The sequence below is a fragment of the Homo sapiens genome, chromosome 6 (assembly GCF_000001405.40).
Source record: "Homo sapiens chromosome 6, GRCh38.p14 Primary Assembly".
Classification (NCBI taxonomy): Eukaryota; Metazoa; Chordata; class Mammalia; order Primates; family Hominidae; genus Homo; species Homo sapiens.
This window is the reverse complement of record NC_000006.12, coordinates 120,966,287-120,989,069: the sequence shown is the minus strand read 5'-3', so window position 1 is coordinate 120,989,069 and position 22,783 is coordinate 120,966,287. Positions and strand designations below refer to the sequence as shown.

The 22,783-nt window shown below is 35.0% G+C and overlaps 1 long non-coding RNA gene across 1 annotated transcript in view; it reads left to right on the top strand.

Moving 5' to 3' along the window:
• LOC105377977 (uncharacterized) overlaps positions 1-18,469 on the top strand; it is a 46,633-nt gene extending 28,164 nt beyond the window's left edge. Inside the window, exons 4-5 of the long non-coding RNA XR_942934.2 lie at positions 10,017-10,178; positions 17,645-18,469. This is a non-coding gene — a long non-coding RNA (uncharacterized LOC105377977). The remainder of the gene's footprint in view (positions 1-10,016; positions 10,179-17,644) is intronic.
• Positions 18,470-22,783: the final 4,314 nt, after the last annotated feature.

Sequence of the window (22,783 nt, the reverse complement as noted above, 5' to 3'; positions counted from 1 at the left end):
GGTGTGTTTAGATGGAGTACTAGTATAGTATCATGACCATAGTTGTCAATTGGGTCCACTGCTTTTGCAGCTATTTTTTAAAAGACCTGAAAAACTGATTAAAACTAAAGGCAATGAAGTGTCTAAACCCATGCTGTGGAAGGAGAACTATATATAGTTCATACTGAATATGGTTCTCATGTTTTCTTCCAAGCCCTTCCTATTAGAATCATGGGCCAGTGGTTTAGGGGGACGTTTCCTTCTTCAATTCTCAGAAAATGCCCCTTTTTCTTTCATGATTTTACTTAAGTATTCTCCAGTGATATGCTTCTGAGTTCTGCATTATCTATTGCCTAACTGCACCAAGGCTTTTGTAAAAATTACAGCAAATTCTCTGTCTTCTTTTGTAAATGCTCAAATTACACACATTAAATCCTTAGAACATAGTTTTTATTGAGTATATTTATATAATTCTAGATACCACCAGTTGCAACTACAAAAAAAATATAGGGAAGTTGCCAATATTCTTTGAAAAAGATCCCTACAACTGATTACTCATTTACTCCAGGAATGGCTTTTCGGAACTTTGCTGTGACCTTTTGGCCTATCTTCAGTAGTTCTCTGTTGCAAAGAGCTGCAGTGGTGGAATGGGAAGATATTTTTCCCCCTTGCAATGGGTTATTTTATGTGTCAACTTGAGTGAGTTATGGGGTGCTCAGGATAAACATTGTTTCTGTGTGTGTCTGTAAGGGTGTTTCTGGATGACATTGGCATTTGAATTGGTGGATTTAATATGGTAGCCTGCCCTCCCCAATGTAGGTCGGCATCATCCAATCTGTGGAGGGCCTGAATAGAATAAAAGGTGGAGTAAACAGAAATTCACCTTTTTCCTTCCTCACTGTTTGAGCTGGGATAGCTCATCTCATCTCTTCCTGCTTTCAGAATGAGATTTACGTAATCACTGGCTCACCTTGTTCTCAGGCCTTCTGATTGGGACTGAATCACACCACTGGCTTTCTTGGGTCTCCAGGTGGCATGCAGCAGATGGTGGACTTTCCACCTTCCATAATTTCATGAGCTAATTCCTAATAATCAATATGTCTCTCTCCATAAATATATGTGTGTATATATATATATGTATATATATCAGATAGATAGATAGATAGATAGATAGATAGATAGATAGATAGATAGAGCCACATCCTATTCATTCTGTTTCTCTGGAGGACCCTGACTTATATCTAAACTTATGCTCCTTGACATTTTGGGTAGAAGAGAACATCTTCAGAACTGACTGTTATTTAAAAATTACTCTGTTTTAAAATGCACCCGAAATTTTCTTTTCTTTCAGATATGGTGAGGCCAACAGATCAGGAGAAAATTTCCATTGAAAAGGTAGTTTGTTACTTATAGCTTCCAAGAGTAGGGGCACAACAAGCCATTCAGGGCCACATGGAGAAGCACCAAAGTTGATCAGGAGACAGATGGAGCAGGGGGAATGCATGGATCAGAACCTTTATTGTGATTGTTGTGGGATGCAGTGAGAGAGGCAGGGTAAGCAGCTGTACAGGTTTAGGATTGGATAGTTTGAATAATTTTGGTAGACTCTGGGCTATATGAGTGGCCCCTGGTTGTATAGTACCTGACCCCAGGGTGATTATGGAACAGGGAACATTGGCTTGGTGTGTGAGAATTAGATAAAATAGATGATTGAGGTATGGGGTCTGGATTAGTTGGTTTGCAAATCAAAGGCATGCTCCTGGGTAAGTCATCTGGTATTTCTAAGAATTGGCTAGCCCTGAGAGGGGCAGTCTCTCCCCAGTCTTCAAGGCCCGGATGCCAGAGCATTGAGAATACAGAAAAGAAGAAAACATTGTTAATGAATATCTCTTCACTACACCAGAGTAACTGGGAGCTATTCCTGTGTTGGATGGAATATTTGATTACATTATCCCCCTTCTTGTCACACACCCTGATATGGTTTGGCTGTGTCCCCACCCAAATCTCATCTTGAATTGTGGCTCCCATAATTCCCATGTGTTGTAGGAGGGACCTGGTGGAAGGTAATTGAATCATGGAGGTAGGTTCTTTCCCATGCTGTTTTCGTGATAGTGAATAAGTCTCACAAGATCTGATGGTTTTACAAAGGGGAGTTCCCCTATACAAGTTATCTTGCCTGATGCCATGTAAGATGTGACTTTGCTCCTCATTTGCCTTCCACCATGGTTGTGAGGCCTCCCCAGCCATGTGGAACTGTGAGTCCATTAAACCATTTTTTCTTGATAAATCACCCAGTCTTTATTAGCAGTGTGAACAGCCTAATACACATCCACTACCTGCTGCAATAGCTTTACTAGTTAACTCTTTAATATTTCCTATATGTTGATTCTGTGACTACAGGTTAGATACAACTGTTAATGATGCAGTCAACTTGGCCATATGTTTTATGTATGTTGATAAAAAGTTATTTAAAAAATCAAATCTTAAAAAAAACCTAAATACGTTTAAATTATTGCTGCTGTTAGTATGTATAACAAGTCAAAGCCATTTTAGTTTCTCATGACTGTGTAAGAGATCTGACCTGTGGATCAAAAGAGCAAAATCTTCCTTCAGTCTCTTGATGAAATCAAATGAAATAGGATGATTTTGGAATATTTAGCACAGGACCAGGCTCACACTAGATGGTCAGTAAAGGTCAGTTGCTTTATGTTTTTAAGCCTAATTTATTTTTTAACATCAACCAAAACCACGCAAAAGTCTGGCATCCAATAGATGATTAGTCTTTTGACTTCACTCTCTAAAAGACTGATATTCTGAAAAATAACAACAAAAATATATTTTCTTGAATTATTTATTTATTTATTTATTTATATTTTTTGAGGCAGAGTCTCACTCTGTTGCCCAGGCTGAAGTGCAGTGGCGTGATCTCAGCTCACTGCAACCTCTGCCTCCTGGGTTCAAGTGATTTCCCTGCCTCAGCCTCCCGAGAGGCTGGGACTACAGGCACACACCACCGTGCCTGGCTGATTTTTGTATTCTTACTAGGGACGGGGTTTCACTGTGTTGGCCAGGCTGGTCTCGACCTCCTGACCTCAAGTAATCCATCTACCACCTCAATCTTTTATATATTGATTATTTTAAACTTTTTAAGAGGAGAGAGATTCCTGCTACTTCAGGAAATAGAGAAATTAAATGTTTATATAGTTTCATTGTTTAGTAATCTTCAATTAAGATTCAAAGTTCATATGCTTATTTATTTATGGATAACCAACTCCTAATTTCCTTTCATACTGATGATTAACTTAATGAATAGATTGTTTTTCATACCTCATAACTCAGCCCCAAATTGTTTTCTACAGACAAACAAATACTCTTAAGATTTTGTCTTAGCCTGTTTTGTGATGCTATAACAGAATACCTGGGATTGCATAATTTATAAAGAACAGAGACTTATTTCTTACAGTTTTAGAGTCCGGGAAGTCTAAGGTGGAGAAGCCCACATCTGGCAAGGGCCTTCTTGCTGCATCTTTCTATAACAATAACTAACCTACTCTCATGATAATAGCATTAATCCATTGGTGAGGGCAGAGTCTTCATGCCCTAATCACCTCTTAGCCGTCTCTTTTAACACTGTTGCATTGGGGATTAAGTTTCCAGTACATAAACTTTGGGAGACACATTCAAATCATAGGAGATTGCATGACTGTGTCTCTTTAGTATTTTAATGTATCTAGAGGTCTGGGAGAGGAAAAAGATACTAAAGATGCCCTTTAAGTCTTTTAATAGCATGGCCACAAATTCTCATTTTGCTCTAAAGTCAAAATGATGAATAACTGCTGTATGTAGTCGTATATTTGCTGTGGCGAATTAGCACTCTTTCAGTGTAAAAGTCCACATTAAGCTTCCTTTAAACAAGCTTCCATAGTCTTTAATTTTAACTATAATGGAACAACTAGTGTTAGTAATAAGAAGTCATTTTGAAATGATGGTATAAGAATGCTACTCATCAGCTCATGGACCCAGGAGGTTAATGGAGTTCTTTTAATTTCCAAACCATATAACCAAATACTACTAGAAAGCTGGTTCTCTGGCAGGAATACATCGTGAAAAACACATTGTACCTAATAAAAGAGGTTATGATTGTCAATATTTTAGTTTCCTTTTTTTTAGGAAAATTAAGATAAAACACTAAATCGCACTGTAAGCCATCGTCTATAATAAAAATTAATTATATTTGCATAGTCTATATTTTTATAAATTTTCCTATAAAATGTTACCCAGTTGCAAATTTTTTTTATATATGGTTTTTCTCTTAAACTTCCTCATATACTAGAACCTTGATGATAATTTTATAAAAGAAATACTATGGAGTACTAACTGTTACAGTGCTTTTCTTTCTACCTCTTTCTTTCTCTCTGTTTCTCTTTCTGTTTATCTCTCTGTCTCAGTCTTGATTATATAATAAATTAATAAAATGAGAGTAAGAACTCTGATTTTTTTCTATAACAATTGAATATATTTCTCTCTTATTTTCATTGCAAATATTGACTGGCCAACAATCTTTTAAATGGGACCACTGACAGAAGATAAATTGGGCAAGAGAGTATAATTGGAACAGGTTACAGGAATTTGAGCTGCCAGAGACTATAGATGATTAAGTCTAATGCCTCATTTTAGAGCTGAGAGAGAAATCGTGGTTGAGAGACGTTGTCATTTATCTAAGAGTGCTGAGCTATTTAATGGTGAGACTACACACACTCTTCTAATCCCAGTGTTCTTTTACTGAACTCAATTATTTGTATTACAGATACTTCAAAACTTATTCCAAGTACATGTCAAGCAAAGGGAAGAATGTTTATAAGTATAAGGTGTTTTGTGATAGTGGGTATAACTATTTTAAGAAGGCCTGTCTGGGAAGGCAAATGAAGAATTATCATTTCCATATCAGACTCCCATTTTAAAATATTTGTAACTATATCAGCCTGAAGCTCTGTGTTGTTTACTTCTTTTTTATTATTATTATACTTTAAGTTTTAGGGTACATGTGCACAACGTGCAGGTTAGTTACATTTGTATACATGTGCCATGTTGGTGTGCTGCACCTAGTAACTCGTCATTTAACATTAGGTATATCTCCTAATGCTATCCCTCCCCGCTACCCCCACCCCACAACAGGCCCCAGAGTGTGATGTTCCCCTTCCTGTGTCCATGTGTTCTCATTGTTCAATTCCCACCTATGAGTGAGAACATGCGGTGTTTGGTTTTTTGTCCTTGTGATAGTTTGCTGAGAATGATGGTTTCCAGCTTCATCCATGTCCCTACAAAGGACATGAACTCATCGTTTTTTATGGCTGCAGAGTATTCCATGGTGTATATGTGCCACATTTTCTTAACCCAGTCTATCATTGTTGGACATTTGGCTTGGTTCCAAGTCTTTGCTATTGTGAATAGTGCTGCAATAAACATACGTGTGCATGTGTCTTTATAGCAGCATGATTTATAATCCTTTGGGTATATGCCCAGTAATGGGATTGCAAACAAGGCCAATTATTTGATCAACAGGGTCAACCAAATCAGCCCAGAAACATTAAAGTAGACCAAATCAAAAATACATTTCCTGGCTCCTAAATTCTAGCTAGTTTCTCATTTTTTTAAATAGCAAGATTAAGTACAAGCAATACAAAACAAAAAAAAACAAAAAAAAACCCTGGAATTCTAAGAAAGTAGATGCTGCTACTTTTTCTTTATCAGAAACAGAAATAGAAAATTTTCAGCTATCTAAATAAAGATCAATTAGCACCAATATAATCTGAACTATAATCAAGTTTTTGTTTAATGTATTGCTGGAGAATATTGTCTAGTTCTTTAGTATATTATACCGTCACACTGTCAATAAATTATAATACTATTTGAACACTTTTAAAGATTAATTTAGTGTACAGAATCCAATTTCCAATGCAATTCAAGTCACAACTATAGTGCTATTGGGCTAAACTCCCAAAGCATCAATAAAAGGAAAAAATATTTCCCTCTTTTCAAAGCTTCTCAAAGACATTAAACACAATATTTCTCTGAATGGCTCAGCACTGTTGCCTTATACTTTTTCCAACTGTGTAATAGAAAAGAGAGACATTTATGGTAAACTTAGTTTTCTTCTTAAGTTACTGCTGTCCACCTACTTTTGTGCTTTTTGAGAAGGAATAATTATTCTGGATATTCTGATTTGTTTTCAAAATTAAAACATATAGAAAATATGCACTGTAATTAAAGCTTGGGCATCCGCAAGGCACAAATGGTTAAATCTCTATCAATTTATAAGTCAAGGGGTTAATTATACCAAACAGCTTGAGAATATATACAGGAAAGAATAACTAAAATAAGACCAATGCCATTACACAAATGCAATGTAGGCAGTCAAAGAGAACTCCAATTAAAGAAATCAACTTCTACTTATAGTTGATAAGGTAAATATTGATCCATAATAAATAATTTTATACCATAAGCACAAGTTAACAAGGTATATGAATTCACCTTTCTAGAAGAGAAAAACAATCTGAATGTGTACATCTTTTTCTCTCTCTCTTTTTTTTTTTAGCGTTTGATATTTAGTTATTTTTGGCTACAATCTTTCTTGGACCCAAAGGGAAGAGCTCTCATTATAAATGTTAAATATTAAGATGCTCTTTAAGTAGTTTTAATCTTCAGAAAATTATTTCTTAAGTGAGCTCTTCCCGAGGTGGTAGTGTTTGAAGTAGGGAAAAGAGCAGAAAAAAAGAAAAAGAGCAGAAGAGAGATTAGGATCTAGATCACTTTTCGACAAACAAAAATCTAAGTATCTCTCAGTAGCAAACTTTGGAGCTGCTATGCAATCAGACCCAGAAATTCAATATAAAACTTGAGACTTAATAAACTTCACACAGTTCATACAAATTCTCCTAATTGCCAATGAATAGTACACTTGTACATAGAAAACCAGAAAGTTCATGCTAAATTACACAGGTCTGTGCTGTTCTGGAAATCCATTATTCCTTGGCATCTCTGTCTTGTTGTCTGCTGTGCAATCTTCTGAACTTTACTCAACTTTACCACATGCTGGTTATTCAATTCTAATCAATAGAAGCAAATATTCACATAGCCTGACCTTCAGCAAATTTCAAGAAGGATAGAAGGGCAAAATAATTCAGAGTGGAATAAAATAGTGACCATGTCTTGTAAATTCCAGGAATATATTTAATTTTTTTGTTTTTATTTTAACTGAGACAGGAAGTGAATGAATTATAAAAAGAAATTGGCTTTAAATTGGAAAAATTTGTATCATAGCTCTGGAAAATATTCATGAACTCAGCTTTTCTTGACTTCTGTACATTAAGACTGGATGTAAACATGTTACCATAGTAGTCACTTTTTTTTTTTTAAACCAGGGGGTAAGGGAATCACTTTTATAACTTTTATAATTCCAGGGCTAGAAAAAAAGCCATAAGGGAAATTATCATGGTTTTCTTTCTCTCAGTCTTTTAAATCCCGGCCTAACACCAACTCTTTTATCTGGAACACCTATAAAAGAATGCTTGAGGAAATGTCTAGCTTAGCACCTCTTGACCTTTAAAATGTGCACATGCTGTCACCCTTATGAGGAAAGAAGTGTTTAGAGCTAAGACAAAGGGAAAGAGAGACAGGAAAATGGAAAGGCAGAAGAGGAGGCTTTGCAAATAGAAGGCAATGTTTACCCTTAACTTATATCCCTTTCTTCTCCTCACCTTCCTTCTTTCTTCACCTCTCTTCAGTGTTCTTGTCTGACTCCTATCAAAACTCACTTCCAGAGGGGCTCACACATCAGTCCCTATAACTTTGTGGTGAGTTGAAGTTAAACTGCTGGTTTTAAAACATTATATTTACATATTTTAAGTGTAGTCTACCATCGTGGAGTAAGATTTGTCTTCTGCCAAAGCATTTTTAAGCATCAACACGCAACTGGAGAAATGTTTATTATTTGGGAGGCTATGTAGTTAAATGAAATTGTATCCCATTGTCCCTTGGAATCTGCAGTGGATTGGTTGCAGAACCCCTAGGGAACCAAAATCCACAGATGCTTGTCTCTGGTATAAAATGGCATAATATTTGCATATTATCTATGCGTCTCCTCCAATATACTTTAAATCATTTCTAGATTACTTATAATATCTAATACAATATAAATGTTAGGCAAATAGTCTTTATACTGTATTTTTAAATTGTATTTTCTGTGAATTTTTAAGAGACGAGACATTATTCTGTTGCCTAGGCTGGAGTGCAGTGGTGCTACCACAGCTCATTGCTGTGTCAAACTCCTGAGCACAAGGAATCCTACCTCAGCCTCCTGAGCAGTTGGGACTACAACTATGTGCCACTACACTTGACTAATTGTTTTCTTTTTTAGACATGGGATTTTATTATGTTGCTCAGGGTGGTCTTGAACTCCCGGCCTCAGGTGACCCTCCTGCCTCAGCCTTCAACTGAATATTTTCAGTCCACAGTTGATTGAATCTGTGGATGTAGAACCCACACAGATACAGATGGCTGTCTGCTTCAAAAAAAAAAAACTAGATCAAATTCTACATCAATTTACTTTAAACTTTAATGAAAGCATATAAAATTATTTTCTGATTTGACTTAATTGTCATCTATTATGCCAATTCAGGATTTTACAGATCAGTAATAGGTAAAATTAAAATAAAATTCCATGGTGTGCTGCTTGAAGAGATTTTAGCATCTATGAAAAGTCTGTATGCTTGTATATTGCAAAATTGTATCTACATTCTTTTGGTTAAGAAAAGGATAAAGAATGAGAATGTTGATTTTCCTGTGTCTGCTTTGTGCCAGATATCTCCTAGATGCTTCTACATATATTATTATTATTTTACTTTAATAATTCTTTCTTTAAAAATAGTATGTATGTGCATTATTTTTAAGGATTCAGGAAATCGAGATTTTAAAAAATACATTGTTTTTGGTTATCTGAAATTCAGAAGCTAAAGTTATGGACTATATAAAATTAGGAGCCTTTTAAAAACATCAGACACCTTTTTGTTTCCTATGTCATTGGGTATCTGTGGAGAAAAGTGTGTTATGAAGTGTGCTAAGAATTTGTATGATATTTGCAATCCTTTTTGTTATTTAGACTCAATTATTTTCAATTTTTCCTAAAAGACTTATTTTTTTAAATGTAATACACCAGGAGGAAGACCATATTCCCTTCTTTTCCAATAATTTGTCATTGTGTTAGTACTTTTGATGCTTGTTTGCTGGACTAATATATTTCACTTGCCCATTTTATGGGACTGTGTATTCTGTGTTGATTTAAGTAACTCTTGAGAGAGAGTGATTTCATACAAAAGAACAAAATGTTCCTAACCATAGACTAAAAGCAGAGGCAATGGGACCTAAAAACTTCAGGTGTGTTATATGGAGGATGATATAAATCTAAATGTTCCCAGCATCAGTAGGAAGAATACAAGATATTGGGTGGTGTCATATTTTGGGAAAGTGAATCATTGTGTTTTATAATGGATTGTGAAAAGAACTTGATCTAATATATCACAGTTATTTTGATTCCATAGGTCACCCAGGGAAGTGGCTGATAACCTACTTGTAGCTAGCAAGAATATATGATGGAATTAAATACATTTATTCGTAAATGAGCAAAAATTGTATATTCAAGGTGATAGGCACTTTAAGTTCTCATAAGCTTTCAGTACAGTTCCATAGAGCAGATTTTTTTTTTCTTATTTATTCTTATTGACTGTGAGGCAGATCCTAAATTGATGAATATCCAGACTTTTTCAAAACTTTAGCAAGATAATTCTTTTGAAAATAAACCCTTCATTAATGCTACAGAGATGACAGCTGTGTCCATAATTCTTTAAGCAGATCAGAAATGTTTTTGCAATGTAACAAAAGGTCAAAGACTGAAAGCTCACACTTTTAATAGACTATTTCTCTAACCATGTTTGTATAAAATTTTTTATTAAAATGCAGTATACCTATTTCTTCCACTCCAGATATTAATTATTTTGACAAGCAGCAGGGAAATGCCATGAATATGTGAACTGATGAAAACAAAAGCAATGATACTTCCAAGGATGCACCTGACAGCTCTTAAGGGATCTAGAGAAATGAGAGAATTACAGAGAAGATTTCAAGTGTTTTACTAATAAACTCAGGTAATTTAAAGTTGCAAAATTTATCAAATTTTTACTCAACTTAGATCCTTTCTAAATGCATAGCAACTCCCTTTTATAACTTTTCAATGCTATAAATTTATATTAGACCAATTTGACTTTATATTTTGGTAAAATATATTAAACACAGATTTAGAGAATAAAACCTAGTTTTATGTGTTATAGAAACTGTGCCCTGATCTCTAGTCTACAATATACTTGTCTGGATTACTACATCTTTGGTTTGGGGACTATGTTACAATTCCATTAACAGCAATTTTCCTTTGCAATCCAGTTATTTCTTTAAAATGATAGAGCTTACTTTATTTATTATTTGGTACCTTTTTCTATATATCTTAGGTTTTTATACTTTCTTTTAAATAAAACAATAATAGAGCTAACTAAATTTATTTTATAGAAAGGTAGAGATTCAAAGCTAATTTATTGGATTAATCAAAATAAATGAATAGACCACATTCAGAAGCTTGAAAGATGGTGAAAAGGTCATGGGAATTCCTGGGGATTCCTTCATTTAAAAATTATCGTGGGATTTTCCACCTGTCTGTGTGTTACAGCAGCAACATCCTAGATTGAGATTGCAGTCTAGACTGCAGCAACATCCTAGATTTCGCCATCACCATTGTCTTCATTGCTGCAGAGACTTCTGAATAATATTGACGTACATGTTAAGGACTGGTTGTCTTAGTCCTCTCTGATTCATATAGTCCTATCCTATCTGTTTTGGATAGATGGAGCACACTGTACGTTGGGGCTTTAAAAAGTGGAAAAGAGGCATATTTATTAGCACAATGCACAAAGAAGGAAGTCGTATTAACCATTTGCCCATCGTATTTTCCCAGAGCAGGATGTTTAAAATGTTCCAGGAATTAGTCCCCTGGAGGTAGATTAGGCTAGCTGCAAAAAGAGACTAACACAGAGGAGGATGTTTGAGATGTAGAAGCACCCAAACAAGATAGATGGTATTAACCAGTAGCAGTAATTTTGCTTCATATCTCAGCCCTTCTATAATATTCTCACATTCCTGTCCATTATGGCAAGATTAGCTTCCCACTGGTCCATCTCCCCAAGGCTGCCACATCAGAAGCTAAGGCTTACTTCTCGTTTTCTTATTTTTTCTTAATACTTCTTAAAGAAGTGTGGGCTTAATTACTTTTGGATCAACAGATTGTTTTGCTTAGATATACACAACTTAATTAATACTGGGAACCTTAGCATTTTTGTGTCCCTGTCCCATGTACCAGAATGAAATGAACTCTAATTAGTTTTCCAAGAGAAATGAATTCCAAAACAAAATGTATTCCACGTGACTCAGTTTTCCCTTCCCCAAAGTGAGATACTATCACTATTTTATAGGAAATTATTAAGCATTTACTAGCAACAACTTTTTCTCTATGCAAATAATATCAACTACAAGAGCAGAAATGTGTCCGTTGTGACCAATTTTAGACAAACCAACATAGAGCACACTTACAGCAAGTTTTGGATAGGAATTAAAGATGCTTAGAACTCTGTGATCATCATGTTTATTGACAAGACCATAATGTTATTAAGAACAACAGAAAATGGTTCATGTTCCCTAGGAAATTAATTCCTGAAAGAAAGGCTCAGACAGGAACGATTATGTCATAAATTAACAAAAAATCTGTATCTCCATTGGAAGGAGAAGGAGCATATCTTCCTGAATTTCTACATTTATGAGGGAGGCTATTGGTGACCATTCAGAACTAGGATAGGGATAAGGTGGTATTTCAGAAATAAAATGCCAAGTTTAATAAGGATGGTCTCAAACTTATAACAGTTTGACTTAAAATTTTCAACTTTGTAATGGTACAAAAGTGATAAACATTCAGTAGAAACCGTACTTTATCCTTACAACCATTTTGTTTTTCACTTTCAGTACGGTATTCAATAAATTACATGAGATATCCAACACTTTCTTTTTAAATAGGCTTTGTGTTAGATTATTTTGCCCTGTTGTGGGCTAATGTAAGTATTCCAAGCATGGTTAAAGTAGGCTAGGCTAAGCTATGATGTTTGGTAGGTTAGGTGTATTAAATGCATTTTTGACTTATGGTATTTCCAATTTACAGTGGGTTTGTTGGAACTAACCCCATCATAAGTAGAGGAGCATATGTACTGGTAATACTCAAGGATGACCTTTTCACCTCATGAACAAAACTCAAACCTTTTCTGCAGCCCATCTGTTTATCTTCTGATTTGTAATTGTTAATAAAATATTAGTTTGAATTCCCATAAATGTGATTTCATTATACTAATCTTGCTTTCCCAGTTGACTTTTTATTTGAAAAGACTTTTTGTCAAAGGAGAAGTCTAATTTATTACTAGTTTACTTATGATCATTAATTCACTCCTTCCACAGAAGTTTGTTATATACTGTTGAGTCAATAAATTTAAATGGAGAGATTTATTTCAAGGGGGTTCCATCCTGCAGGTGCGCAGGTGGGAAGTAAGCCTCTGGCCAAAACCATAAAGCCATGCTTCAAAGGGAGAGAAAGAAGAGATAGGTATATATTCTAAATGGGGTGGCAGGGTGTACATATTTAACAGGAGATGGGAGGACTTATCAATATTCATGAAAGATGCTCACATGTGTGCACTTTAGGTTTACATGTGTGAAACATACATTATGACCCATTTTCACTTTGGGGTGGCAATTTAACATTTACATGCATTATAATTAGGTTCTATACATAAAAAGGTGAAATATAGTGTACAAGTTCTGTGCATCCTCAGGACACTGGCCAAAACCAGTCCACAGCCGGTAGTCAGTATTGAAGAAGAAATTCCTTGTGAACTGGAATAGCTGTTATGCTGGAGCCATAACAACAGGAGGAGCTGAGGGGCCTTCCAATCTTTTGTTTTCTCAAGCTGGCTTTTGAGAAAATCTAGTAATGATGAATGAGTAAAAGAAGGTGAAAGCAAATGGGACGTAATTAGCCTCCCATCTTACCTTGGAAGGGAACTTAAAATTTTGGGTTTTTATAGTCGAAGGAGTGTCTGTTGGAGAAATTTAGGAGTTTTATTTTATTTTGGTCTTCAGGACCCATTATGTGCCATGGCTTATGGTGCTAGGTCCTATAGTTCTAAACATACAGTTGGAGACAAATGTGTACATTTGTAATTGCATTAGGGAACAATATGTTCTATATTTATGAACATCTGTGGTGGCACAGCGTTTTCTGAAGAGGCCATGGAAAGCTTAACAGAAAAGATGTCTAATATGAATTCTGGTGGTTAGGTTTTCTAGTGTACAAGGTGAGGAAGACATTTCTGGCAGAGGAAAAGCATTTTGAAAGTACAGAAATATAAAAATACAATGTCTTATGGAGGACACTTTATGTTGTGATAGCATCATAGGTGCAAGATAAGGTGTAGGAAGATGGAGAGGTAAATTATGATCAGATCATGACAAAATATGGTGCTACAAAGCTTAGGCTTTACCCTAGAGGAAATTTGAAGCCATGGATGAGTTTTAAGTTTGGGCCATATGGCCGTATTTAAATTTAGAAATAGCACTCTGGTGGCAGTATGAAAAATGGATTTGAGAGAAAAAGAAATGAGGGAGAGAAGACCAGTTATGAGTTAAATATTGCAATACAGAAAAGGGGTGATGAGCATTAAAATTAGGACAGTGACAGTGCAAAGGAAATAAAGAAAAGGTTAATCACTTAGGACTCTAGAACCAATTGCATTTGAAGAATAAAGAAGGAAAGTCAGAATGAGTTGCATGTTCCTTGTTTGGGAGACTATGGCACTGGGTACAATTATCCAGTTATGAGATAGAGTGTGGAAAGGTTTTGGGGAGAGAATAGCAAGTTCACTTTGGACATGCTGAGTCTGAGATAGTTTATGCCCATTATACAGATGGCCATGTGAGCCTTAAGCTTAGGAGAACAGTGTAGACTATGTACAGATTTGGAAGTAATCAGCATAAAACAAAAATTGTGTTTAATCCCTTCCAGAGGGTTTAGTGAGATGAAAAAAGAGTAAGATTTTTTGATTCCAGAATATAGCTCAGCACCAGATACACAGTGAGCTTTCAATACATGCTGTTTAAGGAAGAAAGAGTTGAAGAAAAGCCAGGAAAATGAGTGATGGGTAGCAATAGAAAGAAAGGAAGAAAATTAGGAGGAAAACCTGGTGTCATGGAAGCCCAGAGAAAAGACTTTGAAAAAAGACTTATCAACAGTGTTTAATGCTACAAAGGGGTGAAATAAGATAGAAATTGTAAAACCAGAACATGTGTGGTTCTTCTTTTATGCACAAACCCAAATACGTGTATTTCATTTTTATTTATATTTAATGAAATCTTAATAGTTGAATGAAAGTCAGGCTGTGTTTTTTGTAGATAAATTTCTTTTTATTCAACTTCAAATTTCCTTTCTAACTCTCCAAAGTATGTGTTTACCAGAACCAACAAGTGTACATTAAATGAAAGGGTCAAGAAGCAAAATTATGTTTTGTGGAATGTAGGTTAAATTATATAATCAATAATAAGATATATTGATATAAATACAAATCTGGAGCTCAAGACTGAAAACAGCCCTGTTTCATTTTATTTTCTAACATGTTACAATCTTGTGATTTCTCATATTTCACAGAAAGATGGCTAAACACTCAGATATGGAAAAAATTGGAAAAAATCCTTGGAAATATTAATTCAGGGTAAACTCACCTATGGCTTTTTAAGTAAAATAAAGACACTAATTATGCAGAGCAGTGGCTCATTTATTCATTCAACAAGTATTCACTGAGCACCTACTATGTTTCAAACACTGTTCTAGGCCATGGGGTTTCAGCAGTAAATAAAGTAGACATAGATTTTGCCCTCGTGGCTCTTGCAGTTACAGGCAATATGAAAAGCATATGATTAGGTAAATATTAATTGAAATCAAAATACATTCTCTGGCAACTACGTAGAGGATGCTATGAGGGCGTAAAACAATGTATCTTGCTATACAATATAAAACAGGATTTATTATATGCCCTCATAGCAGCAAAAGATATATTTCAATATATTTGCAGAAATGATATTTTTAACTACCTTAAAGAAGTTCTTTTTTTTCTAAGAATTAAAGAATGAATACAAGTTTGCTTGATGAGTTGGGAGTGGAGAGGATTAGAGAGATCTTTTTGGATGGAATAAACAGCATATGCTCTCTAGGGCAGGGAGGAGTCAGCACATTTGGGGCATTAGAAGCAGAAGGAACATTAGAGAGAAGAAAGGAACGTGGTCCATGGAGACATGGGAGAGATGATATGGAGAGCTTCGGGACTGTGTTGAGTTTTGTCACCATCCTTTTACGAAAATTAGTACATGGTTATAAATATGTAAGTGACAGGAAACAGTTGTAATTTCTTTACAGGATCTCTTTTGTTTAGAATGTTAAAAAATGAAGAAAAAACTGGGAAATGAAACAATATACGAAGAAAGCAGCTATCATATTTAGGATATTGCCTTCTATGATTATTAGGAATTTTCTCATACAGAAAATGAAAATAATGGTGACTTCCTTTTAGTTTTCTTAGGAAGACTAAAGATACAAAATACTAAACAAGGTTTCTGGTACGTTATAGACTCTTAAATGTTATTTTCCTTCTTGATCCTAGATAAGTAAAATCGGCTCTGTATTTAAGAATTTCTTGTCTAATAGTAAGTTAATGCTGACTGGCATTGCTAGGGGAAAATAAAGGCTTTTCAAGAATATGACTTTCCAATCCAGGGACATCCTTGAGCCAACCATTAAGGAGGAAGCCTAATATTATCACAGAGACATCCTGGATGGGTGCTGGCCTTCAGAGGTAGCCAGAATACCCAGTCTGGTACCCTGATTGAACAGGGCTAAATCTGAGAGAACCACCCTTATGTAGAACAGCTTCAGGAGATTAGCGTTTGGTTTGGGGTTAATTATAACTATCTGGAAATTCCTCATAAAGTATCATGTTAATATCCTCAAGCACTCTGAATATTCTTTTTCACTAGAGAAATCTACTTGAAACCAAACCAGGCCTAACAGAAATTTCCAGAATTTTATGCCCCATAATCCTTGGTTGCTTCAGAACAGTATTGGTAAAGCAGTAGCAGCAATGTATAATTCTGAAGTTTTGAATGATTTTTAAAAAAACGTATCCAGTTCAAATTCACAAACACATTAAAATCCAGGGTTGCTTTTTCACATTGAAATGTACTAAAGAGGGAAGTATTATTTAATGTATTCAGCAGTAATGGTGGTTGAGAGTGAATGAAAGCCTGCTAAGACTCCCTGTTAGTTTTCCAATGACATTATGGGAAGACATGGCCTACACAGTATCCCCTAACTTTTCTGAGGAAATCCTTTTGACAGAATGGCTGAACATCTGTCAAGCTAAGAAGTGCTTTTCTAGAAAAATAAAGCAACAAAAAGCAGCAGTCATGAGTGTTGTTGTGTTGTTTCAAAACACAGAAGTCTTTTTTGAGCAGGCTGTAGTGGAAAAATTCTCATGCCTGGGTAGGCATCTCTGTTGGAAATTAATCAAAACATGGTCATTAGAGCTCATATTCAGATTATAAGCATTTCAGGAAAAGTGCTCCTTTCTGTTCTCTAGGCTGTGATGTTTTTGTTTCACTTATTAGTTTGTTCTAACATAGACATATCATGCAGCCCTTAGGACTGATCCTTATATTTGAGTTAATTGGAATTGTACCCAGTGAAAATTGCAAAGTTTTCACACACTATGGGGTTTTTATACTTTTTTGGAAAATCTGGAGAGTAGTTTAAAGAAACAGAGAGCCTAGTAAGGAAAAAATGGCATGCTCCTAGAGAGATGACTAAGAAAGATAATCAACGCATGGGATACACATTCTTTTTTTTTTTAGCAAGGTAATTAAACTGTTTAGATCAAAAAGATTTGCCGTTTAGCTCTTCAAAGCATGGCCTATCAAAAGGAGGAGCGAGTTTATTTTGTAGGCACTACCAGTCAATTGCATTAACACTTTACTGCAGTGGAATAAAGGATCACAAAAACAACGAAGCTAGAAGAGATAGAAAGTGACAAATTCATTGATTCCTGTTTCTCTGGGCTGACTAGAAACATACAAATTCAGACATCATTTGCCAACAACTACAACAACCAATTGGCTATTCAGATGAATTGGGTGCTGGGAGAAAAATCCAAGGATATTATTTTTATTTCTCATCATGACTATTCAATGTACATATATGCTTACCAAAATGTATGCTTACATGCACACAGGAAAAGTGGCAAGATTTATAGGCAAAGGTCAATAACCTGCCTATAGCTGATTCTTAAGATGTATGCACGTTTTTCTACTGACAGAAAACATGATTTGAAGCTAATCAATTTTGGCACTATTAAAATTAATTTAGAAAAGGCATAACAAAGACTAAAAACAGAATATTAATGCTCATGTGCTTATTTTGTGATAGGTACTGAATTTAAAGGAATGCCCGTGGCTTCTACCCTAGAAGATCTTAAGAGTCTGAATGGAGGAAGAAAAGCTAAAAAGTAATGATAGTGGCATGTGAGGAAGGTATATAATAGAGGAAGCCATGTAAACACTAAAGTGCCTCTATTCCTGTGAAATATTCAGAAGATTATATTTGGTTTGTGTCTGAAAGCCCTGTGGCTGTGTGTCACCAAAAATGGTGTAAAAGGTGGTAGTGCATCCCGGACAGAGGGGATAGCATGGACAAAGACTCCAAGTCATTAGACTTTTAGTTTGTTGGAAGAACTGGAAGGAATTTAGTAGGCCCAAGTCATAGTCGGTGCTTGCCGGTCAACACACCTGCTTTTTCCTTCCTGAAATTCTCATGCAAGCTAATCTCATCAGCCAAATTGTTCAACTCCAGAGGTCTAGAGACCTGCTACTCCTACAAATCCTCCTTTAAAAATTATTTTAACTGATGAATAATAGTGTATATTTATGGGGTACAATGTGATATTTTCATAGAAATATACAATGTGGAATGACTAAATCAAGTGAATTCACATATCCATTACCTAATTTATTTACATGGTGGCACATTTAAAATTTACTCTTAGCAATTTTGAAATATACAATTCATTATAAACTATACTCACCATGCTGTGTAAAAGATATCAAAGACTTATTCCTCCTGTCTAACTGAAACTTTGTATCCTTTGATCACCATCTCCCCAGTCTTCCATTTACTCTCTCCCTGACCCTCTGGTAGCCACCATTCAATTACTACTTCTATGAGTTTGACATTTTTAGATGTTTGTCTTTCTGTGCCTGGTTTATTTCACTTAGCATAATGTTCTTTGGGTTCTTCCATGTTGTTGCAAATGGCAGGATTTCCTTTAAGGCTGAATAGTATTTCATTTTGTATATACTATTAATATATGCCACATTTTCTTTATCCATTCACCTATTGATACACACTTAGGTTGATATTGGCTATTGCAAATAATATCCCAATGAACATGGAGGTACAGATATCGCTTTGATTTATTAATTTTAATTTTTTGATACATATCCAGAACTGGGATTGTTGGATCAAATGGTAATTTATTTTTAGTTTTTTGATGAACCTCCATACTGCTTTCCATAATGTACTAATTTACATTCCCACCAATAGTACCAGGGTTCTCTTTTCTCCACATACTCACTAACACTTGTTATCGTTTGTATTTTGATAATAGGTATTCTAATAGGTGTGAGGTGTATCTCGTTGTGGTTTTAATTTGCATTTCCCTGATGAGTAGTAACATGGAGCATTTTTTCATGGACCTGTTGGCCATTTGTATATATTCTTTTGAGCAATGTCTATTCAAGTCCTTTGCCCTTTTAAAAATTTGATTATTTGTCTTATTTGCTATTCAATTGTTTGAGTTCCTTATGTATTTTGGATATTAACCCCTTATCAGATATATATGGTTCGCAAATATCTTCTCTCACTCTCTGATTATTCACCTTTTTAATTGCTTCCTCTGCTGTGCAGAAGACTTTTAGTTTCATATATTCCCATTAATCTATTTTTGCTTTTGTTACCTGTGCTTTTAACATCATATCCAAAATATAATTGCTCAGATCAATGTTGTAGAACTTTCCCCTATGATTTCTTCTAGCAGTTTTACAGTTTCAGGTCTTATATTTAAGTTTTTAAATATATTCAAGGTTTTACATATATTCACCGCAATCAAGTGAGATTAACCCCTGGGATTAAACCCATTTTCAGTTGATTTTTATGTATTGTATGAAATATGAACCTAATTTCACTCTTTTGCATATAGATACACAGTTTTCTCAACTGGATCCAGTTTTCTCATTAATTGGAGTCTGTCCTTTCCCTATTATGTATTCTTGGAACTTTTATAAAAAAATCAATTGTCATAAATGCATGGGTTTATTTTTGTACTGTCTATCCTGTTCCATTGGTTGATGTGTCTATTTTTATGCAGTACCATGCTGTTTTAATTACTGCAACTTTGTAGAATATTTTGATGTCAGGTAAGTATGATGCCTCAAGCTTTGTTTTGATTTGTTTTTTGCTCAAGACTGCTTTGGATATTAAGGGTCTTTTGTGGTTCTATATGGATATTAGAATTTTTTTTCTATTTCCATGAAAATAATTACATTTTAATAAGGATTGCATTGAATCTGTACATTGCTTTGGGTAGTAGGGACATTTTAATAATATTAACTCTTTAATTCATGAACACATGATATTTTCCCACTTATTGGTATTTTCTTCACTTTCTTTCATAAGTGTTTTATTGTTTCTAGTACACAGATCTTTACCTTCTTGGTTAAATTTGCACCTAAGTATTTTTGTTGTTACTGTTGCTGTTGTAAATGAAATTGTTTTCTTGATTTCTTTCTCAGATAGTTCATTGTTATTGTATAGATACGCAACTGATTTTTGTACGTTGATTTTGTATCCTGCAACTTTACTGAGTTTGTTTATTACTTCTAACTGTTTTGGGGTACAGTCTTTAGGATTTTGTATATATATAAGTTTATGTCAGCAAGCAGCGGCAACTTCACTTCTTCCTTTCTTATTAGGATCCCCTTTATTTATTTTTATCATGCTTAATTCTCTGACTAGGACTTCCAGTACTATGTTGAAAAGAGTGTGGAGAGTGAGAATCCTTGTCTCATTCTTAATCTTAGAGGTAAAACTTTCAAATTTTCACTAGTGAGTATGATGTCACTGTGGGCTTGTCATATATGGGCTTTACTATGTTGAGGTACATTCCTTCTATAGCTAATCCATGAGAGTTTTTTTTTTTAATCATGAAAGAATGTTTAATTTTGTCAAATGCTTTTTTTTCTTTGCACTTATTGGGATAGTCATATGGTTTTTGGCTTTCAGTCTATTGATGTAATGTGTCACAGTTAATGATTTACGTATGTTGAACCATCTTTGCATCCCAGGGATTAATCTCACTTGATTCTGGTGCCACTGCACCTGGCCAATTGTGGTGAATTATTTTAATGCGTTATTGAATTTGGCTTGCTAGTAATTTGTTGAGGATTTTTTCATATATGTTAATCAGGGATATTGGCCTGTAATTTTCTTTTCTTGTAGTGTAAATCCTCCCTTTTCATTACTTTTTAACTCATTCCATACTTAGTACACCTATTAAATCCTTCTCATTTTTCTCCTTCTTAAAAAAAAAAATTCTTTGCCTTTGCCTTAATTGGGCCCATGTCAAGCCAGAGCTACTGCAATAACTTGTAAGATGGTATCATACCAGAGACTGTTGAATTTTATTCTAGCACATCCTTTTCCTTCCAGTCACTTCATAAGTGTTTCTGAACAATCACCATCTTCCATGCTTTGCTTGCACGCTTGCTTTTTTTCCCTCAGTAAAATGCCCTTTCCACTTTTCTACACATAATGACCTGACCTTCTATTCATTCTTCAAGGTTCCGACCAACAGTCATCCATTCAGGGGAATGTTATTAGACTCCTCCTGGAATTCTTAGTGGACTCCTTTCCTTTCATAAATTCTTTCCCTGTGTTTTCATATCACTTAACACTTAATCCAACATTTGGGTACTTGATTTACTCTCTCTACATATTAAATGATCTTCCAGGAAATAATCAAGATCGTACTTTATATTTTCCATAACTTTTAATGTAGTACCTTGTCTGGGAAATAGTAGGGATACAATAAATGCTTTATGAATAAATGAGTATCTAAATTTTCAGGAATCCACATACTATTAACTTTTAAAATGTCTAATAGTGACTTAATAAATTTTAATTTGATATAAAATTATCTGCTACAATGTGATTTATTGCACAGAAATTTAATATTAAAGTACAATTAGAAATAGTAAAGGCAGAACATTTTGTCCTTCTATTGGGAGGATACTGTCAAGGGCAGGACATTTTTAAAATGGTGTATTAATCAGGATGTTCCAGAGAAACAGAACTAGCAGGATATACATAGATGTATGGAAAGAGATTTATTATGAAGGACTGGTGATTATAGAGGTGAGTACCACCAGCTGCCATCTGCAAACTGGAGAACCAGGAAAGCTTGTGGTATAGTTTTAGTCCAAGCCTTAAGGCCTGAGAACCAGAGGCATTGATGTCTGAGGGCAGAATATAGATGTCTGAATCCACAAGAAAGAGCACATTTGCCCTTCCTCCACCTTTTTGTTCTATTCAGGTTCTCAAAGGACTAGTTGATGTGCACCTACATTGGTGAGGAATATCTTATTCAGTTTATCAAATCAAATGCTAATCTCTTCCAGCAACACCCTCACAAACACACTCAGAAATGATGTCTTACCAGCTATCTGATATCCATTAGCCCCATCAAGTTGACATTCAAAATTACCCATCACGGTGACCTAATTGAATTAGAATATCTGTGTAAAACAAACATAATTTAAGACCTTGGCTTAACCAGGACCCTCAACAAATGCAGGCTTAGTGGCAAAAAGCAACGATGTTCCATGCTGTATTACATAACAATACAGAAACTGGGAATTTTGAGTTTTGAAACAGATTGCCAAAATGTCTGCTAAGCTTCCGAATTTTCAGTGTTTGAGGATAAAGGTTGAGGATCTTAAAATGTCAACAACTCACATGGACAATATAGGATCAGAGACCTCTCAGGACGAAAGAGGGCAGCCATGAACTATTTCTCTTGATGAGATAATACAAAATATCTTATTGTTAAATGAGACCTATGAGAGTCAGAGATCTTACCTTGTATCAGCAGTAGTAACAATTGCAAAAGTACAAGTAATATGAGGAATAGGTGAAGCATGGAGAGGTTTGACACAGCCAATGTCACTTCTCAGGTCCCTTTTTGCTGCATGCTCAGGCCAAGATTTAACATATGACCTCTCTAAGTGTGACTATATCACACATACAAAGAGTGAAACCACTTTTGTAAAAATTATGACAGTGAGAGAATCTAGTCTAATTGACTCCATCTTGCTTCTAACCTCACAAGCTAACCACCTTTGTTAACTTTAAAACAAAGATGATCACAGTCTTTTCCCAAAACTGACCCTCTCAGGGATCTTAAAACCACCTTTGTAAGACTCATGAAAGGCCACAAGACTAGGATTATGGGAA